The 26,406-nt window shown below is 40.7% G+C and overlaps 1 protein-coding gene across 11 annotated transcripts in view; it reads left to right on the top strand.

The window, feature by feature from the left end:
- SEMA5A (semaphorin 5A) overlaps positions 1-26,406 on the top strand; it is a 511,043-nt gene that overhangs the window by 264,223 nt on the left and 220,414 nt on the right. The window contains exon 1 of one of the 11 annotated variants that reach the window (XM_011514159.3): positions 12,794-16,419. The exons of the other annotated variants lie outside the window; for them this stretch is intronic. Coding sequence (XP_011512461.1) covers positions 16,291-16,419 — 129 coding nt within the window. The 5' untranslated portion in view covers positions 12,794-16,290. Of the gene's footprint in view, positions 1-12,793; positions 16,420-26,406 lie in introns of those variants that run through there. 11 annotated transcript variants of the gene reach the window in all.

The raw sequence follows: 26,406 nt of genomic DNA, 5'->3' as shown, positions 1-26,406 counted from the left end.
GCTCTGTCTCAAAAAAAAAAAAAAAAAAAGTGCCTGTATCCCAAAGAGGTTATGAAATTATTGACTGATGTCCATTAGTCACAGCATGCCGTCTTCTCCCCGGTCTTGGACAGCAGTATCTCTTGGTTCCTGTTAATCAGTTTGTATGATTTGCCTTACCCGATTTGCCTTACCCTATTTGGTGATCTGGGGGTCTATAAGAATCCAGATAATTCTCATTGTCCCTGAAGAACCCTGTTAGTCCATAAGTCAAGAGATAATCAATAAAATAATATGGATATGGGATTTGCTTTTCATATAAACTAGGGTTTCTCCGTCTTGGCACAGTTGACTTTTTACGCTAGATAATTCACTGTTGTGTAGGCTGCCCTGGGCAGCATAGGACATTTAGCAGCATCCTGGACTCTATCCACTAGACGCCAGTAGCAAACCCTTCCCAGCTGTCTCCAGACACTGCTGAATGTCCCCTGGGGGGGCAAAACTATCCCTATTTGGGGACCACTGTTATAAATATATACAAAAATTATAGGGAAAACATTTTGGATGGGAGTTCTTGGCTGGATTGAATTAGGTATTTGCATGAAGTGAAGGTATTTACATTATAGAAGAGAAAAATTCTGTGCTAGAGGGAAAATGGAAATTTTATTCCTATAGAAGTAAAGATACATTATCAAAGTACAGTAACTGATGTATCATTTTTGTGTATTTTCCATCCTACCAGGATCATTAAATATTAGAAATGAAATTCTGATAACTCATCTTAATTCAGTAATATAAATATATTTGGTTTCTCATCTATAAAGTAAGAATGATAATGGTTTGTAACTCATAGGGTTATTATGAAGCTTAAATGAGACTTTTAAAGTGGTTTTTCTCAAGCCTAGAAGTTCTTAATTCATGCTAATATTATTAATGAAGAATTGGGTTAAATTAACGGAGGAATTATTTAAATTGTATACACACAGATACACATACACATACAATTATTTATTGTTATTTGCTAAAACGTTACATTTTATTCATAATTGGAACAATTTCCTTCCAGGTCTGAGGAAGACAATTGGGTGAGTATTGCTGTTGTCAGTGATGTTCTCATCTTAGCAAGCCTGGTTAACTTGAGAGTCCTCCATGTAAAAATTTTGGTTGGTTTTTCAAATTCTTGTTTCTGTTAATTTCAGAGGTATCCAATTTGCCTATGTACCAAAATAACTGAAGTATTGAACACTGCATATTTTTAATGTAGGAAACTGGACTTCAAATGTCATTTTTAGATTGTCATCCTTGATATAATTTGAGGCTGGCCAAGTGAGAGCTTCTCCTATGAATAGTAACCCTGGTCCTGTTGAGGGACATAGGCACTAACACGGGGTCAGGCTGAGGGAGTCCTGGTTCTGCAAGGGCTGTGTGACCTGGGCCAAGTCCTGTGTCCAGATGTGCTTCACTTTCTCACCTGTGAAGAATGATGCTGCTCAGGTGGTCTTGAAGGACCTTTCCCACTTTCATCTTTGCCTTTCTTTTCTTTACTTTTCTATTATTCATTGACAAGATCAATAGGGATCATGTGCTTTTTGTAGTGATTGGTCCATTTATTAACAAATGGAATCTGTTGAATACAGAGATATCTGCTGCAGTAAATGTAAAGTAAAAATCAGAATCTGTAATTAGGGATCCTGGATCTGTCAGTGTACAAAGCCCTGGTATTAGATTTGCTTTTGACATCGGTATTTTTTTCCTACTCCTAGGATGGAATTCCTCCAAGAAAAAATACATGTTAAAAGAAATTGCTCTAAAATCCTGTCCCTCAGACACTCATCATTCTGCATCAGGGTTCAGTCACCTCTTTCTTGGAAAGGGCTGGATAGTTAATATTTTAGCCAGTGACAAAATGGTCATATGCAAGTTGATATTAGTCAGTTATTACACTGCTGTCAAGAACTACCTGAGACTGAGGCTGGGTAATTTATGAAGAAAAGAGGTTTAATTGACTCATAGTTCCATGGGCTTAACAGGAAGCATGGCTTGGAGGCCTCAGGAAACTTACAATCATGGCAAAAGGCAAAGGGAAAGCAAGCATGTCTTTCCATGGTGGGCAGGAGAGAGAGAGAGAGGGAGAGTCAAGGGGGAAGTGCCACATGTTGTTAAACCATCAGATCTCATGAGAACTCACTCACTATCATGAGAACAGCAAGGGGGAAATCTGCCCCTGTGATCCAATCACCTTCCACTAGGCCCCTCCACTGACATGCAGGGATTATAATTCAACATGAAGTTTGGGTGGGACACAGAGCTAAGCCATATCATTCTGCCCCAGCCCCTCCCAAATCTTATGTCCTTTTCACATTTCCAAAACAATCAGGGCTTCCCAACAATCCCCCATACTCTTATCTCATTCTAGCATTAACTCAAAAATCCAGGTCCAAAGTCACATCTGACACAAGCCAAGTCCCTTCCACCTATGATCCTGTAAAATCAACACCAAGTTAGTTACTTCCAAGAAACAGTAGGGGTACAGGCATTGGGCAAATATTCACATCCCAAATGGGAGAAATTGGCCAAAACAAAGGGTCTAGAGGTCCCATGCAAGTCCAAAACCCAGCAGGGCCATCATTCAATCTTAAAGCTCCAAAATAATCTCCTTTGACTCTATGTCTTGCATCCAGGCCACACTAACACAAGGGCTGGACTCCCAAGGCCTTTGGCAGCTCTGCCCCTGTGGCTTTGCAGGGTACACGCCCCTTGGCTGCTTTCATGGGCTGGCGTTGAGTTCCTGTGGGTTTTCCAGACACACAGTGCAAGTTGTTGGTGGATCTATAATTCTACGGTCTGGAGGATGGTGGCCCTCTTCTGCCAGCTCCACTAGGCAGTGTTCCAATGGGGAGTCCATACTGGGGCTCCAACCCCACATTCCCACTCTGCACTGCCCTACTGTAGGTTCCCCATGAGGGGTCCACCCCTGCAGCAGACTTCTGCCTGGACATCAAGGTGTTTACATACATCTTCTGAAATCTAGGTGGAGGTTCCCAAACCTCAACTCTCACCTTCTGTGCACCTGCAGGCCCAGCACCACGTAGATGCTACTGAGGCTTGGGGCTTGCACCCTCTGAAGCCTCAGCCTGAGCTGTACCTTGGCCCCTTTAGCCATAGCTGGAGCTGGGGCATGTGTGATACAGGGCACTGTGTTCTGAGGCTGCACAGAGCAGCAGGGCCCTGGGCCTCGCCCACAAAACCATTTTTCCCTCCTAGACCTGCAGGCCTGTGATGAGAGGGCTTCCCTGAAGGTCTCTGAAATGCTCTGGAGATATATTCCCCATTGCCTTGGTGATTAACATTTAGCTGTTCTTTACTTATGCACATTTCTGCAGCAGGCTTGATTTTTCTCCCCAGAAAATGGGTTTTTCTTTTCTACGACATGGCCATACTGCAAATTTTCCAAACTTTTATGCTTTGCTTTCCTTTTAAGTTCCAATTTCAGATAATCTCTTTGTTCATGCATATGAACATACACTTTTAGAAACAATCAGATCACCTCTTGAATGCTTTGCTGCTTAGAAATGTCTTCCACCAGATACCCTAAGTAATCTCTCTCAAGTTCAAAGTTCCACAGATCTCTAGGGCAGGAACAAAATGTCACCAGTCTCTTTGCTTAAGCATAGCAAGGGTTGCCATCACTCCACTTCCCAGTATGTTCCTCATTACCAGCTGAGACCTCATCAGCTGGGACTTCTTTTTTTTTTTTTTTAAGTTTACATGACTTTAATAACATTTAGTAAATACGGCTGATTTTAAAACTACTGATAAAGTAAAATAAACACATCTCCAAAATTTAATTTAAACATTTTTTCTGGGTCTATTGATAAGTCAATACTGTCTCTACTAGATGTGTTCTTTTTTATTATTATACTTTAAGTTCTGGGGTACATGTGCGGAACATGCAAGTCTGTTACATACATATACACGTGCCACGGTGGTTTGCTGCACCCATCAACCTATCATCTACATTAGGAATTTCTCCTAATGCTATCCCTCCCCTAGCCCCGCACCCCCCTGACAGTGCGTGATATTCCCCTCCCTGTGTCCATGTGTTCTCATTGTTCAACTCCCACTTATGAGTGAGAACATGTGGTGTTTGGTTTTCTGTTCTTGTGTTAGTTTACTGAGAATGATGGTTTCCAGCATCATCCATGTCCCTGTACAGGACAGGAACTCATCCTTTTATATGGCTTCATAGTATTCCATGGTGTATATGTGCCACATTTTCTTTATCCAGTCTATCATTGATGGGCATTTGAGTAGGTTCCAAGTCTTTGCTATTGTGAACAGTGCCACAATAAATATATGTGTGCATGTGTCTTTATAGTAGAATGATTTATAATCCTTTGGCTATATACCCAGTGATGAGATTGCTGGGTCAAATGGTATTTCTAGTTCTAGATCCTTCAGGAATTGCCACACTGTCCTCCACCATTGTTGAACTAATTTACACTCTCACCAACAGTGTAAAAGCATTCCTATTTCTCAACATCCTCTCCAGCATCTGTTGTTTCCTGACTTTTTAATGATCACCATTCTAACTGGCATGACATGTTATCTCATTGTGGTTTTGATTTGCATTACTCTAATGGCCAGTGATGATGAGCATTTTTTTCATATGTTTGTTGGTGGCATAAATGTCTTCTTTTGAGAAGTGTCTGTTCATATCCTTTGCCCACTTTTTGATGGGGTTGTTTGTTTTTTTCCGTGTAAATTTGTTTGAGTTCTTTGTAGATTCTGGAAATTAGCCCTTTGTCAGATGGATAGATTGCAAAAATTTTCTCCCTTTCTTTGGGTTGCCTGTTCACTCTGATGATAGTTTCTTTTGCTGTGCAGAAGCTCTTTAGTTTAATTAGATCCCATTTGTCTCTTTTGGCTTTTGTTGCCATTGCTTTTGGTGTTTTAGTCATGAAGTCTTTGCCCATGCCTATGTCCTGCATGGTATTGCCTAGGTTTTCTTCTAGGGTTTTTATGGTTTTAGGTCTTATGTTTAAGTGTTTAATATATGTTGGGTTAATTTTTGTATAAGGTGTAAGGAAGGGATCCAGTTTCAGTTTTCTGCACATGGCTAGCCAGTTTTCCCAACACCATTTATTAAAGAGGGAATCCTTTCCCCATTGTTTGTTGTTGGCAGGTTTGTCAAAGATCAGATGGTTGTAAATGTGTGGTGATATTTCTGAGGCCTTTGTTCTGTTCCATTGGTATATATATATGTGTTTTGGTACCAGTACCATACTGTTTTACTGTAGCCTTGTATTATAGTTTGAATTCAGGTAACTCCAGTGTTGCCTCCAGCTTTGTTCTTTTTGCTTAGGATTGTCTTGGTTATGTGGGCTCTTTTTTGGTTCCATATGAAATTTAAAGTAGATTTTTCCAATTCTGTGAGGAAAGTCAATGGTAGCTTGATGGGAATAGCTTTAAATCTATAAATTACTTTGGGCAGTATGGCCATTTTCACAATATTGATTCTTCCTATCCATGAGCATGGAATGTTTTTCCATTTGTTTGTGTCCTCTCTTATTTCCTTGAGCAGTGGTTTGTTGTTCCCCTTGAAGAGGCCCTTCACATCCATTGTAAGTTGTATTCCTAGGTATTTTATTCTTTGTAGCAATTGTGAATGGGAGTTCACTCATGATGTGGCTCTCTGTTTGTCTGTTATTGGTGTATAGGAATGCTTGTGATTTTTGCACATTGATTTTGTATCCTGAGACTTTGCTGAAGTTGCTTATCAGCTTAAGGAGATTTTGGGCTGAGATGATGGGATTTTCTAAATATGCAATCATATCATCTGCAAACAGAGACAATTTGACTTCCTGTTTTCCTAATTGAATAACCTTTATTTCTTTCTCTTGCCTGATTGCCCTGGCCAGAACTTCCAATATTATGTTGAGTTGGAGTGGTGAGAGAGGGCATCCCTGTCTTGTGCCAGTTTTTCGCCCATTCAGTATGATGTTGGCTGTGGGTTTGTCATAAATAGCTCTTATTATTTGAGATATGTTCCATCAATACCTAGTTTATTGAAAGTTTTTAGCATGAACATTGTTGAATTTTGTTGAAGGCCTTTTCTGTATCTATTGAGATAATCATGTGTTTTTTCTCATTGGTTTTGTTTATGTGATGGATTACCTTGACTGATTTGTGTATGTTGAACCAGACTGCATCCCTGGGATGAAGCTGACTTGATTGTGGTGGACAAGCTTTTTGATGTGCTGCTGGATTTGGTTTGCCAGTATTTTATTGAGGATTTTCACATCGATGATCATCAGGGATATTGGCCTGAAATTTTCCTTTTTTTTTATTGTGTCTCTGCAGGTTTTGGTATTAGGATGATGCTGGCCTCATGAAATGAGTTAGGGAGGATTCCCTCTTTTTCTATTGTTTTGAATAGTTTTAGAAGGAATGGTACCAGCTTCTCTTTGTACCTTTGGTATAATTAGGCTGGGAGTCCATCTGGTCCCGGACTTTTTTTGGTTGGTAGGTTATTAATTGCTGCCTCAATTTTAGAACTTGTTATTGGTCTACTCAAGGATTCGACTTCTTCCTGGTTTAGTCTTGGGAGGGTGTATGTGTCCAGGAACTTTTCCATTTCTTCTAGATTTTCTAGTTTATTTGAGTAGAGGTGATTATAATATTTTCTGATGGTAGTTTGCATTTCTGTGGGATCGGTAGTGATATACCCTTTATCATTTTTTATTGCATCTACTTGATTCTTCTCTCTTTTTTTCTTTATTAGTCTGGCTAGAAGTCTATCTATTTTGTTGATCTTTTCAATAAACCAGCTCCTGGATTCATTGATTTTTTTGAGGGGTTTTCATGTGTCTGTCTCCTTCAGCTCTGCTCTGATCTTAGTTATTTCTTGCCTTCTGCTGGCTTTTGAATGTGTTTGCTCTTGCTTCTCTAGTTCTATTAATTTTGATGTAAGTGTGTTGATTTTAGATCTTTCCTGCTTTCTCTTTTGGGCATTTAGTGCCATAAATTTCCCTCTACCCACTGCTTTAAATGTGTCCCAGAGATTCTGGTACATTGTGTCTTTGTTCTCATTGGTTTCAAAGAACATCTTTATTTCTGCCATCATTTCGTTATTTACCCAGTGGTCATTCAGGAGCAGGTTGTTCACTTTCCATGTAGTTGTGTGGTTTTGAGTGCGTTTCTTAATCCTGAGTTCTAATTTGATTGCACTGTGGTCTGAGAGACAGTTTTTTATGATTTCCATTCTTTTGCATTTGCTGAGGAGTGTTTTACATCCACTTACGTGGTCAATTTTAGAATAAGTGTGATATGGTGCTGAAAATAATGTATATTCTGTTGATTTGGTGTGGAGAGTTCTGTAGATGTCTATTAGGTCCACTTGGTCCAGAGCTGAGTTCAAGTCCTGGATATCCTTGGTAATTTTCTGTCTCATTGATCTAATATTGACTGTGGGGTGTTAAAATATCCCACTATCGTGTAGGAGTCTAAGTCTCTTTGTAGGTCTCTAAGAACTTGCTTTATGAATCTGGGTGCTCCTGTATTGCATGTATATATATTTAGGATAATTAGCTTTTCTTGTTGCATTGATCCCTTTACTATTATGTAATGTCCTTGTCTCTTTTGATCTTTATTGGTTTAAAGTCTGTTTTTATCAGAGACTAGCATTGCAACCCCTGCTTTATTTTTGCTGTCCATTTGCTTGGTAAATTTTCCTCCATCCCTTTATTTTGAGCCTATGTGTGTCTTTGCACATGAGATGGGTCTCCTGAATACAGCACACCGATGGGTCTTGACTCTTTATCCAATTTGCCAGTCTTTGTCTTTTAATTGGGGCATTTAACCCATTTACATTTAAGGTTAATATTGTTATGTGTGAATTTGATCCTGTCATTATGATGCTAGCTGGTTATTTTGCCCGTTAGTTGAGGCCGTTTCTTCATAGCATCAATGGTCTTTACAATTTGGTATGTTTTTGCAGTGGCTGGTACTGGTTGTTCCTTTCCATGTTTAGTGCTTCCTTCAGGAGCTCTTGTAGGGCAGGCCTGGTGGTGACAAAATCTCTCAGCATTTGCTTGTCTGTAAAGGATTTTATTTCTCATTCACTTATGAAGCTTAGTTTGGCTGGATATGAAATTCTGGGTTGAAAATTCTTTTCTTTATGAATGTTGAATATTGGCCCCCACTCCTTCTGGCTTGTAGAGTTTCTGCTGCGAGATCTGCTGTTAGTCTGATGGGATTCCCTTTGTGGGTAACCTGACCTTTCTCTCTTGGCTGCCTTTAATATTTTTTCCTTCATTTTGACCTTGGTGAATCTGACATTTATGTGTCTTGGGGTTGCTCTTTTCGAGGAGTATCTTTGTGGTGTTCTCTGTATTTCCTGAATTTGAATGTTGGCCTGCCTTGCTAGGTTGGGGAAGTTCTCCTAGATAATATCCTGCAGAGTGTTTTCCAACTTGATTTCATTCTCCTTGTCACTTTAAGGTAGCCCAATCAAACATAGATTTAGTCTTTTCACATAGTCCCATATTTCTTGGGGGCTTTGTTCATTTCTTTTCACTTCTTTTTTCTCTAATCTTGTCTTCACCTTTATTTCATTGAGTTGATCTTCAATCTCTGATATCCTTTCTTCTGCTTAATTGATTCAGCTATTGATACTTGTGTATGCTTCACGAATTTCTCTTGCTGTGTTTTTCAGCTCCATCAGATCATTTATGTTCTTCTCTAACTTTCAAGAACTTTTTTCAAGGTTCTTAGCTTCCTTGCATTGGGTTAGAACATGCTCCTTTACCTTAGAGGAGTTTGTTATTACCCACCTTCTGAAGCCTACTTCTGTCAATTCATCAAACTCATTCTCCGTCCAGTTTTGTTCCCTTGCTGGTGAGGAGTTGTGAACCTTTGGAGAAGAGGCATTCTGGTTTTTGGAATTTTTAGTATTTTTGCACTGGTTTCCCCCATCTTCGTGGATTTATCTACCTTTGGTCTTTGAAGTCAGTGACCTTTGGCTGGTGTCTCTGAGTGGGCATCCTTTTGGTTGATGTTGATACCATTCCTTTGTTTGTTAGTGTTCCTTCTAACATTCAGGCCCCTCTTCTGCAGGCGTGTTGGAGTTTGCTGGAGGTCCACTCCAGACCCTGTTTGCCTGGGTATCACCAGCGAAGGCTGCAGAATAGCAAAGATTGCTGCCTGTTCCTTCCTCTGGAAGCTTTGTCCCACAGGGGCACCCACCAGATGCCAGCCAGAGCTCTCCTGTATGAGGTGTCTGTCGGCCCCTACTGGGAGGTGTCTCACATTCACGATACACCGGGATCAGGGACCCACTTAAGGAGGCAGTCTGTCCCTTATCAGAGCTCAAATGCTGTGCTGGGAGATCTCTGTTCTCTTCAGAGCCATCAGGCAGGGATGTTTCAGCCTGCTGAAGCTCTGCCAAAAACCTCCCCTTCCCCCAGGTGCTCTGTCCCAGGGAGGTGGGGGTTTTATCTATAAGTCCCTGACTGGGGCTGCTGCATGTTTTTCAGAGATGCCCTGCCCAGAGAGGAGAGATGGTCTGGCTTCAGTGGCCTTGCTGAGCTGCGGTGGTGGGCTCCACTCAGTTCGAACTTCCCAGTGGCTTTGTTTACACTGTGAGGGTAAAACCACCTACTCAAGCCTAAGCAATGGCAGACACTCCCCTACACCCCCACCAAGCTCCAGCGTCCCACATCTAGCTCAGACAGCTGTGCTAGCAGTGAAAATTTCCAGCCAGTAGATCTTAGGTTGCTGAGCTCTGTGGGGTTGAAACCTGCCAAGCCAGACCACTTGGCTCCCAGGCTTCAGCCCCCTTTCCAGGGGAGTGAATGATTCTGTCTCGCTGGTGCTCCAGGTGCCACTGGGGTATGAAAAAACAACTCCTGTGGCTAGCTTGGTATCTGCTCAAACAGCCGCCCAGTTTTGTGCTGGAACCCCAGGGTCCTGGTAGTGTGGGCACTGGAGGGAATCTCCTGGTCTGTGGGTTGTGAAGAGCGTGAGAAAAGTGCAGTATCTGGGCCGGAGTGCATGGTACAATCCCTAATGGCTTCCCTTGGCTAGAGGGAGTTCCCTGACCCATTGTGCTTCCCGGGTGAAGTGATGCCCCACCCTGCTTTGGCTTGCCCTCCTTGGGTTGCACCCACTGTCCAACAAGTCCCAATGAGATGCACTAGGTACCTCAGTTGGGAAAGCAGAAATCACCCACCTTCTGCATTGATCTTGCTGGGAGCTGCAGTTCCTATTCTGCCATCTTGCCAGCAGTCCCCTTCTTTGTTTTTATTACTATCAGCCTTTTGGTCAAAAACCATTCAGTAAGTCTCTAGCAAGTTCTAAATTTTTCCACATTTTCCTATCTTCTTCTGTGCCCTCCAAACTGTTCTAGCCCCTAACTGTTACTCAGTTCCAAAGTCGCTTTCACATTTTCAGTTATGTTTATAGCCGTACCTCACTCCTGTTACCAATTTTCTTTATTAGTTCATTCTCATAGTGCTATAAAGAACTACCTGAGAATGGGTAATTTATGAAGAAAAGAGATTTAATGGACTCACAGTTTCACAGGCTTAACAGGAAGCATGGCCTGGAGGCCTCAGGAAACTTACAATTATGGTGGAAGGCAAAGGGTAAGCAAGCACGTTTTACCATGGAGGAGCAGAAGAGAGAGCAAGTAAACGGGGGAGTGCCACATGCTTTTAAACCATCAGATCTCATGAGAATTCAGTCACTATCAGGAGAACAGCATGGGGGAAATCTGTCACTATGATCCAAAGACCTCCCACCAGGCCCCTCCCCGATATGTGGAGGTTACAATTTAACGTGAGATTTGGGTGGGGACAGAGAACAAAACCGTATCAAGTTCCTTATGTTAAAAAGGAGAAAGCAAACATTCACAAATTCTTTCTTCAATATGTGAAAATATAAAACCTATTTTTAGCAAGCAAGTGATCAGAAAATAGGCAATGGGCTGGATTTGACCCACAGGCTGTAGTTTGCTACTCTGATGTACATTGGAGAAGTCTGCCTCTTAGATCTCAATAACATTATGGCTTATATTTAATCTATTTTTTTTTCTTTTTTGACCAGAAGTTCCAGGTAAAGCAAAGCTCCTTAACCTTGTCCTGGGGAAACCCTCCTCCCCCTGCCCCCACCCGCTGCCCCAACATCAGAGTATGCCAAATCTGGGCTGCTGCTTTCTAGGTATATTGGAAGCATCTCTAGTCAGTTCTCAGGCAACCTGAGAATGTGCTCCCAAAGTGAATGCTGTGTTTCCAACCAGACTCGACTTTCCCCCGCTCTCAGTACCTTTCATACTTCCTTTTCTGGCCAGAATCTAGAAAGAGTTGTTATTGTTTCCTATGGGACTTGCTCAAGTTTTGGGTCATCTATCTCTGAAAATTGTCATTTCCATATAGATTTGTAATGCTATTGAATTGAGGTTCTCGTAGATCACCCCAGGTTCAATAATTCTCCGGGACTCAAGGACTCAATATGTAGTCATGCATGGCTGTGATTTATTACAGTGAAGGAAAAAAAAATTAGCAAAGACAAGAGGTGCATGGATAGATCATGAAGAAAACAAGGTGTGATCTTCCAAGAGTCTTCTTCCAGTGGAATCACACTGGATGCACTTAATCCTTCCATCAGCAAATTGTGACAACACGAGGAGAGTGTTGTCTACCAGAGAGGCTCAATGCCCTGGGTTTCTCCTGCGGGCAGATCACACAGGACCTCTCTGCCTGGAATGTATTAAAATTGCAGACTCCTGGAAGGAAAGCAGATGCTTGCGTAAACCACCTTGCATGTATTAATAATTGAGGCACAGTGAGCCGTTTTTAACAGGGAATTGTGGAAACCCTCCTGATATCTGAGCTCCCAGAAACCAGCTAAGGGGCCAATTTTGCAAGCAGGCCCTTCTAGGATGACAGTCTCAGGCCTACTCTACTAAGTCTTCTCTGTGCAGCTGTAAAAAGGGGACTGGATGGAGTTCATTGTCATACGGAATTTAATAACACTGGCTTCCTAACTCAGAAGTGAGTGTTAGAACTAATTCTTATGTTTTGCATATGCAGATTTATTACATTTCATACTATGTATATAGACATAGAGAATATAAATAGATATTTTATAAAAATTTATAGAAGCCTTAAGGTCACCACCATGTATAATCTTACATTTTATATTTTATGTCTCTTTTGCTACTCTTACAACAGCAGTTGTAATTACAATGTTTCTATTCTATTTTAGTGTTAACAAGAATATTTTCATGAACATTATCTCCTTCAAGCTCTACCTCACCATTTTTTGGTAATTAGGGCATTTATTATTTTCTCCCCATATTTTCAAGTGAGTACGCTAACTTAGACAGGTGAGGCCATTTGCTCAAGGTTGCATAGCTAATCAAAACCAAGCCAGAACACAAATACTGTTCTTGTACTTTTTAGGAATTCCATAGCCATCTCCATTGTCTTTCTACTGAGTCAGATACAAGTCACAGCTCCAACACAATAGGTGATTATTATTAATATCTATTTCTACTGCTTCCATGCCTACAGGAGATCCTGTATTATCTGCCTGGCCATCTCCTGCCTGCCATCTGGCGCCAAGGTGTCTCTCACAGAGCTGGGGAAGGGAGTAAGCAGGGTGCTAGTCTCAGTAATTTGTTGTAGGTGAGGATGTTGGATGATTCAGCGTGATGACAAATTAGAGGCATGAGGCTCCCAGTCTCCATCCCGCGGATTTTCTCTCAGTTCATTCCCCCACCACATGTGCTGTGTGTTGTTGCAGAGGGATGCATTTCTATCAGCCTATAGATCTTGCAACCTGGAGAAACAAAAATGTGTTTTGTCCTTAGCATCCAGAAGGTAATTGTACGATGTAAATGTTGTATGCCTTCCTAGCTCTTGATCTGGAAATTGTCATCATTTCTAAAACAAATAGAAATATACTTACTTTAAAAATAAATTAGTATGTTTAAAACACAGATAATAATTTATCCCCAAATTATTAAGCAATTACAAATTCAAGCAGTTGGTGCTGATTAATTATATATATACAAGGTAGCATTTTAAAAATTTATGATAAATTACAGCAATCTGTTGAAGTGTTGAAGGTGATTATTTATGAAGTGTGATGTAAATGAAATTTGCCACAGTGCGGGGAAAATAAATTCTTTATTAACATCTAATTATCTTTTGCTCACTTATGGATTCAATATTTCCTACCTCTGTATCAACTCTTATGGCCTGGGGGCAGTAGTATTTATTAAGATGGCATTTTTAGTTCCATCATAATTTAGCTTTATTCAAATTCCAGATCAGTGCTATCACATTACTATTTACTGAAAAATTCTGAACTGTGTTGCCAAAAAAGGATAAAAAGTAAGCTTTACATTTCCTTCCCTGGGAGTCTCATGACGCCGTTTTCTGTGTTTTCCTCAGTGAATGGGTGGTCTTATCACTGTTTGTTCAGTCATCCTTCCAGACTGAACTGCTAGCTGTGCACATCTTCCACACACAGAAAATGTCTTGGAAGTTGATTCTCTAGGTTTCTAAACTCAGCCTGTCTCTGTATTTTTATCGATGTGTTAAAAATATTTGAGGATCATCCCAAGTGAATCAGCTGATTGACAGCTTTAGGGTCCATAGATTCTTAACAGATGAAATCTACCAATAAAAAATTTTCAAGGGCAAATAAGAAGCCCTACAATTGTGCTAAATGCACTACCTACAAGAACAACAAGAACCAACTACTATAGGTATAACCAATACTATAGGTGTTTCAGAAGGCACAAATTAGCATATTTACATGGCTCAAATTTTTAATCATATTTTTATTACTCAATTTATATTATTATGATACAGGATGTGATAACTTAGCTTCCTCTAACAGATCCTGTCATATGCATGTTTTTGCATGCTACACTTTTGAAAAAAGCTTTTTATCATGAAAAATTTCAATCATAGACAAAGGTAAAGAGAATAGTATAATAAAACCCTTTGTACCCAGCTGCCAATTTAAAAAGTTATCCACGTGTTCTGTAAATCTTTTCTCATCTCTTTCCTTATCCACTTCGCCCATGCCCACCCCGGCCAGAGATGATTCTGAAGTCGATCTCAGATGTGTCTTTTTATCTTTAACTATTTTAGTTGAATTCTATACTTTTGAGGTCTAGCTAATCAGAAAGAAGAGTGAAGAAAGAGACCAGGGCAGTCAGAGGAATCAGATGCCTTTTATCTGAGAAATGAGAGAAGGAATACTCTCTTTCAGAAACACTGGTCTAGAAGACCCAGGAGGAAGATTTCAGGGTCTGTAAATAAGAAAAGCACAATAATGTGGAAACCAGTTAAGAATTTATCTCTGTGTCATTAAGGCATAGACCCAGAACTAAAGAGTACAAGGTATGGGGTGATTGATGTCACTCAGTTTAAGGAAGAACTTCCTAAAGTAAAGTGGACCAAAGATTCAATGAACTGTCACAAGGAATTGATGGTTTCAGCTCAGCAGAGTTTTCAAGTGGATCGGGCAACAGCTTGATAGCGCGATATAGAGGCAAAGTACAGGAGATTCAGATGAGATTTTATGTTGTGAGTTTTTCCAAACCCAGAAGCCTGCAAAGTGTGGCGGGCTTCTCAGCTGAAATTCTTCCTGGCTCATATATTAAATAAGAATCTAATCTTTTCTGAATGTGAACATCAGGTAAGAGCCTCATCCTGCTGTTTGCAATGTGGACTCAGAGAGCTGTTCGAAGGTTTTGAGCCAGCAACCTAGAAATCCACCTTGATTCTGCTACTTTCTAGCTGGGCAGAGCTCTGTAAGGTATATCACGTCTTCACTGAATCTCAGGCTTCTAATCTGTACAATGGGATTTTAAGGGAGTCTTCTGAGAATTAAATTAGGTGCATACTTAAAATCTCTCTCCTTCATTTTGTACCTAGTTAGGTATTTTGTATTAGGTGTTCATATTTACTCTTCCAATATCCAGAGCTTGCTGAACTTTCCATATTGATACTGCTTTGGTAAAGTTGAGTTTGTATTGATTTATTCAGCAGTCTGAACTTGGGGTTCAGTAGTGAGTTACACAGGGTCTGGCCACAAGTTGGCTAGAGTTTCATGGGCTTTCTGAGCTGGACAAGTTACCTTTATTACTGTAGGATAAATAAGTTAATCATGCTTACTTTGTCCCATCAAAAGAGAATAGTTATAATTATTTCATTGCTATAATCTTCCTACATTCTTTCTCATGAGGGTGAGAAGAAGTTGCTTAGAAGATAAAATATTGTTTTCTAACACTATCTTACGGGACCAGATAAAAGTTTCTAATTTAGCCTGAAATTACATTAAATAATAATGGTGTATTCAACTTAGCATTTTATCATTAGATTGATAGAGACTTTTAAAATGTGTAGTATCTCGTCATTTAAGGAGCCATGGCCCTCTAAAGATTGTCACGAATAACAGGAAACCCTCCAGATCATTTATTTCCATTCATTCTCATTAATAATAGTATTTAAAAGCAGAAGTTTGCCAGAAGACTCTATTTATAAGATACTTAGCACAGAAGCTCACTTGTGCTTTAAAATGTGCCCTGGATAACTCTGGCATCTTGTGTTATCTGATATATCAAACTAAAACACAGAACCATGGATAGACTGTTCTCTCCTTTGGAAACATCAACCTGTATTCAGAGACTCGAACCATTCCCTGCTCTCCTAAAATGCCCTCAAGGCAGACGTAGCACCAGCAGTATTTGGAGCTCATACAGTGCGGCATTGAGGACGGATGCCTTTTGTTCACAAACAGATTGGGAAATGTGAGATAAATGGATTTTTTCGCGGTAAGTGGGAGAAAATGTGGGAGAGATTTGGAAGCAGGGCAGCCGTGGGGCAAGGAATGTTGAAATGTAGCAATTACTCTTTGGTCTTCCTCCGCAAAACACTGCCCTTCTCCGCCTAGCATTTTTCAGATGCCAGGCCCTGAACATGAAAACACGGTGTGCCTGCTGAGCCCTTAACATTCTCAAGAGCGCCTGCTGGAGAGCCAGCCAGGGCTTGCTGAATCCTGTGTCTGGAACCCAGACTTGCAGGGTAGGGAGAAAGCAGCCTTGCAGTGGCCTAAACAGACGCTAAGTGGACAGCTCACTTGAACTTGGTTTAGCAGACCTCAGAAGTTGCTTGTTTTAATTTCCTTTTGTTTGTCTTATTCGTGAGGGAGGGATCCCTTGCCCTAGAGTTATGGGGATAGCTGAACATGGGACGCCAGGCACTGGACAGATGAGATCAGCAGCAGTTTATGAGTCACATATACTCACAGCCTGGAGCAGGAGGACCGCACACACCACACAAAGCCACATGGGAGTCCCGCGGCAGAAGAGTTGAACATCACAGGGCTGTGGGAGGCAGGCCTTACAGTGGAAGGAAGGTAGGATGCCTGTGGTTTCCATAGAAGGATGGGATTGACTTGTTAGATAAATTATATGGTCTGGTAGGGAGCTGAAGCCCACACCTCATGGATAGGCAGGAACTGGGCCTGTCCTTCTAATAAGGAGGTTATTTGTCTAGAGCACCTCATCCACAAGAGGAGCCTCAGGAGGGGAATATGTAATTAGGCCGTTGGAGACCCTCCTGGTTCCTCCCAGATGCTGAGCTAGCACACGACCGTGGAGCTGAATTTTACTCTCACACCAAAATGTCTCGCGGTGGTTTGGGGCTATGGGGAATGTCCTTATTTCATCCACAACAGACCATTCACTCACAGTTTCAGTCATTCAATCCACATAGTAAGAATTTTCCCTAACTTTTATTCCTAAATGCATGTGCATTATAATGAAGGCTCCCAAAGTAAGATTAGAAGGAATTTCAGATCAAAGTCAATCTCTGTTCACGTCTTTGGGGTTTGAAACAAGGGATAATGTACTTAGTAGGTAAAGAAACTTGATTCTTCCCCACTGCACCCTCGCCCCATGTTTCTTCCCACCCCGAAGTCAGCCAGCCCCTCACACTTTTGAGAGTGATGAATGTTGTTGTTACTTAAGAACTAGATTCATTTTACTTGGAAAGATATATTTTTGTCCTCAAATATGATACATAAAATTATAAAACAGAGATGTGCTTCCTTTTTTATGTTGCCATTCCTGGTTGCCAGGATCTACCAAGGGCAAACTGAACATTAACCCGCTGGTGACCTCAGGGTGGGAGGTGTCACTATGACCTCAGGGTGGGAGGTGTCACTATGAGAATGCCACACCCCCAGCAACCTGGAACCCCGAAGCTGAGAACTGTAGGGCATTTTCTTCTCAAGTGGTTCAGCTGACATCAGTTCTGCCTTCATTTCTTTGTAAAATCATTCCCGGAGCATATGGCTGTATTTTAATTTCAAGTGCCTGGTACGTTATTCTAGGATTTGCTTTGACATATTGAAATAAAATGCGTTATTTACTTGGAGCCTAGATGGTTTAATGTTTTTTTCACTTCCTCTTTGTCCTTGCCATCCTCTTTCCTTTGACTATTCCCACTTTCCCTCACCTTCCTGGCCTTCTTTTTCCTTTCTTTTCCTCCTTCTGGGCTCCTGCTTTTTTCTGTCTTTATTCTAGCTCTAAAAATTTGGTTCTTCTTGGCTTATAGAAATGTATTTGGCAAATGTAAAATGTTCTTAAATAGTAAATAATAGGTCTAAATGAAAACTAATGTGATCTATTTGAAGGCTATGTTTTATTCTCTTCTTATCTTACCATATGGTTTCCAAAATTAAACTTGAATTTGGATTCACTTATATCTTTCATCACAGACTCATGTTTCCTAAAAAGAAGGTAGGCACATAGTGACCATATATGTGAGTTTCCAATCCTAAAATTAGTTTAATGGCAACAACAAAACTAGATTTTCTAGAGAAATTCACTTCTTATCAATTTCTGCAGGGGAGATGGGGAGAGATGAGGGGAATGTGTGTTTGAGAAAAGATACGTCATCAGAGCACTTTGAGATTTATTTCTAAATGCAGTGCACATTGAGAAATACCCAAGAGACACAGGGAAAACTCAGCCATGAGAACATCTTCTTTAGAGTAGCTCATGTGGTTAAACTCTAAATGTGATCGATGAGGATAACTTGCCTCCCACCATGGAATCACATGGCAAAGTACAGATCATAGGCATTTAATCACAGGCATGAAAACCTATGTTCTCTTTCTTTTGCAAGAACCTAAATTCATGTCATAGGTAAAGGTTGAATGGTAGAATACAAGAGTTCTAACGACTTAGATCAGTGGTCCCCAGTCTTCTTGACACCAGAGACCAGTTTCGTGGAAGACAATTTTTCCACGAGCATTGGGGCAGTGGGGAAAGGGTGGGTGTTGATTTTGGGATGAAACTGTTCCACCTCAGATTATCAGGCACTAGAGTCCCATAAAGAGTAGATAACCTAGATCCCTCACTGCAGTGCGCAGTTCACAATAGGGCTCATGCTCCTAAGAGAATCTAATGCCACTGCTGATCTGACAGGCAGAGGAACTCAGGCAGTAACGCTCACTTGTCTGCTGCTCACCTCATGCTGTGCGGCCTGGTTCCTAACAGGCCATGGACCAGGACCAGTCCGTGGCTTGGGTGTTGGGGACCCCTGACTTAGATGACCTGGAGGACGGAGTAAAAAAGAATGGGGAATGGGAATTTTTCTTTCTTTCAATGATAACAAATTCTCAAAAATTCTTAATGCACAGAACCATTGTGGGTTTCTTCAAATACAAATATTGCAATAAACAACCTAATATTCTGAACCGATTTTTTGTTGGCAGAGACATCTGTATCTTTTTTTTTTTTTCTATTGACAGAATGGATTTAGCTTGCCAAATCATTTGGAATTCCTTAGGCATTTATTTAAAATTTTATTTTTATTTTTATTTTTTCGAAAATATTTTATTTTATAAGAAATATATTTTCTTTTTTTTTTTAATTTTTTTTTTTTATTATAATCTAAGTTTTAGGGTACATGTGCACATTGTGCAGGTTAGTTACATATGTATACATGTGCCATGCTGGTGCGCTGCACCCACTAACGTGTCATCTAGCATTAGGTATATCTCCCAATGCTATCCCTCCCCCCTCCCCCGACCCCACCACAGTCCCCAGAGTGTGATATTCCCCTTCCTGTGTCCATGTGATCTCATTGTTCAATTCCCACCTATGAGTGAGAATATGCGGTGTTTGGTTTTTTGTTCTTGCGATAGTTTACTGAGAATGATGGTTTCCAGTTTCATCCATGTCCCTACAAAGGACATGAACTCATCATTTTTTATGGCTGCATAGTATTCCATGGTGTATATGTGCCACATTTTCTTAATCCAGTCTATCATTGTTGGACATTTGGCTTGGTTCCAAGTCTTTGCTATTGTGAATAGTGCCGCAATAAACATACGTGTGCATGTGTCTTTATAGCAGCATGATTTATAGTCCTTTGGGTATATACCCAGTAATGGGATGGCTGGGTCAAATGGTATTTCTAGTTCTAGATCCCTGAGGAATCGCCACACTGACTTCCACAATGGTTGAACTAGTTTACAGTCCCACCAACAGTGTAAAAGAGTTCCTATTTCTCCACATCCTCTCCAGCACCTGTTGTTTCCTGACTTTTTAATGATTGCCATTCTAACTGGTGTGAGATGATATCTCATAGTGGTTTTGATTTGCATTTCTCTGATGGCCAGTGATGATGAGCATTTCTTCATGTGTTTTTTGGCTGCATAAATGTCTTCTTTTGAGAAATGTCTGTTCATGTCCTTCGCCCACTTTTTGATGGGGTTGTTTGTTTTTTTCTTGTAAATTTGTTTGAGTTCATTGTAGATTCTGGATATTAGCCCTTTGTCAGATGAGTAGGTTGCGAAAATTTTCTCCCATGTTGTAGGTTGCCTGTTCACTCTGATGGTAGTTTCTTTTGCTGTGCAGAAGCTCTTGAGTTTAATTAGATCCCATTTGTCAATTTTGGCTTTTGTTGCCATTGCTTTTGGTGTTTTGGACATGAAGTCCTTGCCCACGCCTATGTCCTGAATGGTAATGCCTAGGTTTTCTTCTAGGGTTTTTATGGTTTTAGGTCTAACGTTTAAATCTTTAATCCATCTTGAATTGATTTTTGTATAAGGTGTAAGGAAGGGATCCAGTTTCAGCTTTCTACATATGGCTAGCCAGTTTTCCCAGCACCATTTATTAAATAGGGAATCCTTTCCCCATTGCTTGTTTTTCTCAGGTTTGTCAAAGATCAGATAGTTGCAGATATGCGGCATTATTTCTGAGGGCTCTGTTCTGTTCCATTGATCTATATCTCTGTTTTGGTACCAGTACCATGCTGTTTTGGTTACTGTAGCCTTGTAGTATAGTTTGAAGTCAGGTAGTGTGATGCCTCCAGCTTTGTTCTTTTGGCTTAGGATTGACTTGGCGATGCGGGCTCTTTTTTGGTTCCATATGAACTTTAAAGTAGTTTTTTCCAATTCTGTGAAGAAAGTCATTGGTAGCTTGATGGGGATGGCATTGAATCTGTAAATTACCTTGGGCAGTATGGCCATTTTCACGATATTGATTCTTCCTACCCATGAGCATGGAATGTTCTTCCATTTGTTTGTGTCCTCTTTTATTTCCTTGAGCAGTGGTTTGTAGTTCTCCTTGAAGAGTTCCTTCACATCCCTTGTAAGTTGGATTCCTAGGTATTTTATTCTCTTTGAAGCAATTGTGAATGGGAGTTCACTCATGATTTGGCTCTCTGTTTGTCTGTTGTTGGTGTATAAGAATGCTTGTGATTTTTGTACATTGATTTTGTATCCTGAGACTTTGCTGAAGTTGCTTATCAGCTTAAGGAGATTTTGGGCTGAGACGATGGGGTTTTCTAGATAAACAATCATGTCGTCTGCAAACAGGGACAATTTGACTTCCTCTTTTCCTAATTGAATGCCCTTTATTTCCTTCTCCTGCCTGATTGCCCTGGCCAGAACTTCCAACACTATGTTGAATAGGAGTGGTGAGAGAGGGCATCCCTGTCTTGTGCCAGTTTTCAAAGGGAATGCTTCCAGTTTTTGCCCATTCAGTATGATATTGGCTGTGGGTTTGTCATAGATAGCTCTTATTATTTTGAAATACGTCCCACCAATACCTAATTTATTGAGAGTTTTTAGCATGAAGGGTTGTTGAATTTTGTCAAAGGCTTTTTCTGCATCTATTGAGATAATCATGTGGTTTTTGTCTTTGGCTCTGTTTATATGCTGGATTACATTTATTGATTTGCGTATATTGAACCAGCCTTGCATCCCAGGGATGAAGCCCACTTGATCATGGTGGATAAGCTTTTTGATGTGCTGCTGGATTCGGTTTGCCAGTATTTTATTGAGGATTTTTGCATCAATGTTCATCAAGGATATTGGTCTAAAATTCTCTTTTTTGGTTGTGTCTCTGCCCGGCTTTGGTATCAGAATGACGCTGGCCTCATAAAATGAGTTAGGGAGGATTCCCTCTTTTTCTATTGATTGGAATAGTTTCAGAAGGAATGGTACCAGTTCCTCCTTGTACCTCTGGTAGAATTCGGCTGTGAATCCATCTGGTCCTGGACTCTTTTTGGTTGGTAAACTATTGATTATTGCCACAATTTCAGAGCCTGTTATTGGTCTATTCAGAGATTCAACTTCTTCCTGGTTTAGTCTTGGGAGAGTGTATATGTCGAGGAATGTATCCATTTCTTCTAGATTTTCTAGTTTATTTGCGTAGAGGTGTTTGTAGTATTCTCTGATGGTAGTTTGTATTTCTGTGGGATCAGTGGTGATATCCCCTTTATCATTTTTTATTGTGTCTATTTGATTCTTCTCTCTTTTTTTCTTTATTAGTCTTGCTAGCGGTCTATCAATTTTGTTGATCCTTTCAAAAAACCAGCTCCTGGATTCATTGATTTTTTGAAGGGTTTTTTGTGTCTCTATTTCCTTCAGTTCTGCTCTGATTTTAGTTATTTCTTGCCTTCTGCTAGCTTTTGAATGTGTTTGCTCTTGCTTTTCTAGTTCTTTTAATTGTGATGTTAGGGTGTCAATTTTGGATCTTTCCTGCTTTCTCTTGTAGGCATTTAGTGCTATAAATTTCCCTCTACACACTGCTTTGAATGCGTCCCAGAGATTCTGGTATGTGGTGTCTTTGTTCTCATTGGTTTCAAAGAACATCTTTATTTCTGCCTTCATTTCGTTATGTACCCAGTAGTCATTCAGGAGCAGGGAGACAGAAAGTCAACAAGGATACCCAGGAATTGAACTCAGCTCTGCACCAAGCAGACCTAATAGACATCTACAGAACTCTCCACCCCAAATCAACAGAATATACATTTTTTTCAGCACCACACCACACCTATTCCAAGATTGACCACATAGTTGGAAGTAAAGCTCTCCTCAGCAAATGTAAAAGAACAGAAATTATAACAAACTATCTCTCAGACCACAGTGCAATCAAACTAGAACTCAGGATTAAGAATCTCACTCAAAGCCACTCAACTACATGGAAACTAAAATTTTATTTTTAAATCTCCCCCAAAGTGAAGAATAATTTCAAGTGAACATGTGGGGAAAAATTTGGTACTACAAACCTTTTGAGAATATTAAAAGCAAATTTTGCCCAGAAGCAGTTTGCATTTCTCTCTTCCATTGTAGCTGTATTTCCAAGTGAAAGGCAGATAGCAAAAGAATTAGAATGGGATTAAAAAGGCTTTTTGTAAAAAATAATGGGGCCGGGCCTGGTGGCTCATGCCTGTAATCCCAGCACTTTGGGAGGCCAAGGCAGGCAGATCACCCGAGGTCAGGAGTTCCAGACTAACCTCGCCAACATGGTGAAACCCCACCTCTACCAAAAATACAAAATTAGCCAGGTATGGTGGCAGGCCCCTGTGGTTGCAGGTACTTGGGAGGCTGAGGCACGAGAATTGCTTGAACGCTTGAACCCAGGAGGCAGAGGTTCCAGTGAGCAGAGATCATGACATTGCACTCCAGCCTGGGCTATAGAGCAAAACTCCATCTCAGGGAAAAAAAAAAAAAAAAAAAAAAAAAGAAAGAAAGAAGAAAAGACAAATAATAGTGGAAGTAATTATGTAGTTAACAATATCACAGGCTTACTATGTGCAGACACTGGATTAAATGCTATTTGTAAGCACTCCTTAATACTCACCAAGACCCTTTGAGGTTGCTATTTTTATTATATCCAGCAAGCAATGAGGAAAAATGAGGGATAGGGAAATAAAAAGACTTGAGTAAATCTCATCACCAGGATTCAGCCCAGCTCTTTGTTCCCCTGGATAACCTAAGGGTGATTAGGGCAAGACTTCTTCCATTGTCTTGTACACTTAAGGAGAGAGAGAGAGCCAGTGCATTGAGGCCTTGGCATTTGAGCCTGCGAGTGGAGAAGACAGAATGAGATAGGCCTGTGGTCTCTTGCCACCTCACTGAAAGACAGCACGCCTGGTTGGCTACCAGTCTTCAATAGGTAACCTAAATCCAATCCCAAGACAAAGTAAGTTTGATCAATTCATTTGTAACCCAATGGCCAAGATGTTCATTGCATAGTAAAATTTTGGTTCCCTGAGCCTCTTAATTTAAGAACTTACATGAAAATATAGAGTTAGGACTGAAGCTAGCATTTGATAACCTATTTGAAGGGGCGATGGTAAGGCTTCTAGCTTCTCTTGATATTCTTTTCAAATCAACAGGAATGCTTCTTTTTTTATGTTAGTAATATGCCATGCCATTTGACAGTTCTTCCCCCTTGTGTTTCTTCTCAGCGACTTTTCAGTATTCAGTCCAAATGTGTATTCAGCAGGTCAAAATCTCAGCATGTTTGCACTAGGTGCTGGCAGCTAGTTGTAGGGTGTAGTGGTATCATCTATAGCCTCGAAGGAAGGAAACAAAACACCCTAACACCCTCCTTGCCCTTTACTTGGCTTCTCTCTGCCTTCTGAGGCCTCAGTTACTGGGTACAGAGCTGTCTAGGGGCTGACTTGCCCTGCACACCCCTGTGTACCCTGTTCCTGGGCTTTGCTGAACCCTCCCATGGATGCCCCTTGGTAGAGTTGTAATAAAACATCTGCAAGCCCTGACCACCACCTTGATGCATGTAATGGTGGTTGTAATGCTGGGGGTTCTGAACCACTAGTGGTGCCTTATGACCAAGGGGAAGGGTAAGAAGTAAGGGGACGTCATCTATTTTAAACATTATTCACTGACCTCATCTGTCAGGAGAAATTATAGTCTTTTTTTTTTAGAGCAAAATAGAATCTCAGTCCCTAGTATAAACCACACATTTTGTGTTAATGCTGACTGTTTTCATGGACATTTTCCAGGATGACATGGGAGCTTGCACTTCATTTGATCTACTTTCAGTGACATTTAATGTAGAATGGAAAAAAAAAAGATCTATGTGGGTAGTATACAGATGTGTAGAGCTTTACTTTTCCACTTAGAATAGTTGTGCAGCCATTTCCCAACGTAATGGCACATGTACCATGTGTCCTGCTGACAGTAAAAGGTGAGCTACTTTCCATCCAAGGAACAATTGAAATGTCTCCAATACAAGACGCTGTGAGAAGGTCATAGAGATGATAGGTAAAGAGTTTTCTCTGTGTTTATTACCTCTCAGTGGAGTCATTCTCTGGATTATTGCCAGATGCAAAACTCTTCAAGGGCCAGGTGGCAACTCCCACCGCCCCAGTTAAGCCACACTCACTCAATGTACCAGCAAATTCCTCCATGCCATGAATAAGCTCTCCAGTTGGTGATGCAGACAGAAGACTACAGACCCAACTATTTCTACTAAATTACTTTGCCTGAGAGTTTATACAGTGCCTCTGTAACTATCTCATTAAATCTCACAACAATTTTATGAACCAAGAAGGTCAGAGATTATTATTCACATCACATAGATATGCAAGATGAATTTGAAAACTAAATGCAAACTGATTTTTTCACTCTTCATGCTAATCTTGAACTTATACTCTTAAAACCAGGTTCACCTGATGACAAATGTGATGAGGCTCTCGCCTTGAAATTCCTACCTTCAGACAGAAGTTTGCAAAAGTAAACTCATTTCAAACTCCTAGATTATTCCTTCCTTCAGCACATATTTAATCAGGGTCTCTTATGGGGCAGTCAGACTTCCAAGTACAGGAAATAAAGTGTTGAACCAAGGGAAGGACTTCTCTTACAGTGTTATTATAGTTGGAGGAGATATTTAATCAATTAATAGTTAGGAAAAGTGTTAGAAACTGGTAAGTGTGCTGCCAAGAATTCAAATGCAGTGATGTGATAGAAAGTATTTATGAAGTTCTTGTAGATAGGGTGGCAAAGAATGGTCTACTCTTATAGAGTGGCAGTTGAGTCAATATCTGAATATTGAGGAGTCAGGCACAGGTGAGGGAAAGCACCTTTGGGAAAGAGAGCTCAGTGAATACAAAGGTTTGGAAGAGGGAACAGTGGATAAGGCTAAAGGAACCTACAGAGGTTTAGAGTTGCTGGATCACAGGGCTCAAGGAGTAGAGGAATGGTGACACACGGGGTCAGAGAATTGGAGGCAGAAACACCTCAAGCTTTGTGAACCAGGCCCAAGACTTTGAATTGTGTTTTAGGTACCTAAATGGCAAGCCACTCGAAGGTATTAAACATCATCTATTTTTCTTATTAAAAAGATACTTTTGGGTGAGTCATAGAGGAAAGGGTTATAATGGGACAAAGTTATAGGAAGGACATCCATTAGGAAATTGCATTAGAATTTAGGCAAGAGTTACTGGTAGAGAAATGGACGCATTTGGAAAGTTTTGTTTGTTAGTTCCAGTCAACATGATTTGTTGGTGGATTGGATGTTGGCAGTGAGGAAACAAGAAGACTCAAGGATGACTTGTATACCTTTGACCAGAGCAACTAAGTGGGTAGTGTATGGGCAACACTAGGGGAGAAGCAAGTTGGGAGGCAGAGAGGGAAATCATGGCTGGTGATTTACATGTATTACGTTTGAGATGCTTTTGGATATGCCAAGGAATATACCCAGGAGAGAGGTGGAAGAATTAATACTTTCCAGTAATGGACAGGAATGCAGGTGTGTTGTACTGATGGTGTTTGCTGTCATAAAACAAGGTAATATTACCCAAGGAGGAAGGAAGAGTGGAAAGTGAAGGATCCGAAGCAGATGCCAGGGCCATGCCACCATTGGAGGAAACACAGCTTAGTCTGCTAAAGGAGACTGAGAAGGAGCAGCTAGTGATGAGGAAGAAAACCTGGACAGGATGAGCCATGGGCAGAAGGTGGTCCCAGAAGGAATGCTTAGATTGTCAAATGCTATAATGGATACTTTGTTCTGTTCTTTAGGAAAAAGAGCTGTAGTGAATTGTTGTGATCCCCACTTCATGGTGATCAAGCCGT

The sequence above is a fragment of the Homo sapiens genome, chromosome 5 (assembly GCF_000001405.40).
Source record: "Homo sapiens chromosome 5, GRCh38.p14 Primary Assembly".
NCBI classification, from domain to species: Eukaryota; Metazoa; Chordata; class Mammalia; order Primates; family Hominidae; genus Homo; species Homo sapiens.
This window is presented reverse-complemented; position numbering and strand designations above follow the sequence as displayed.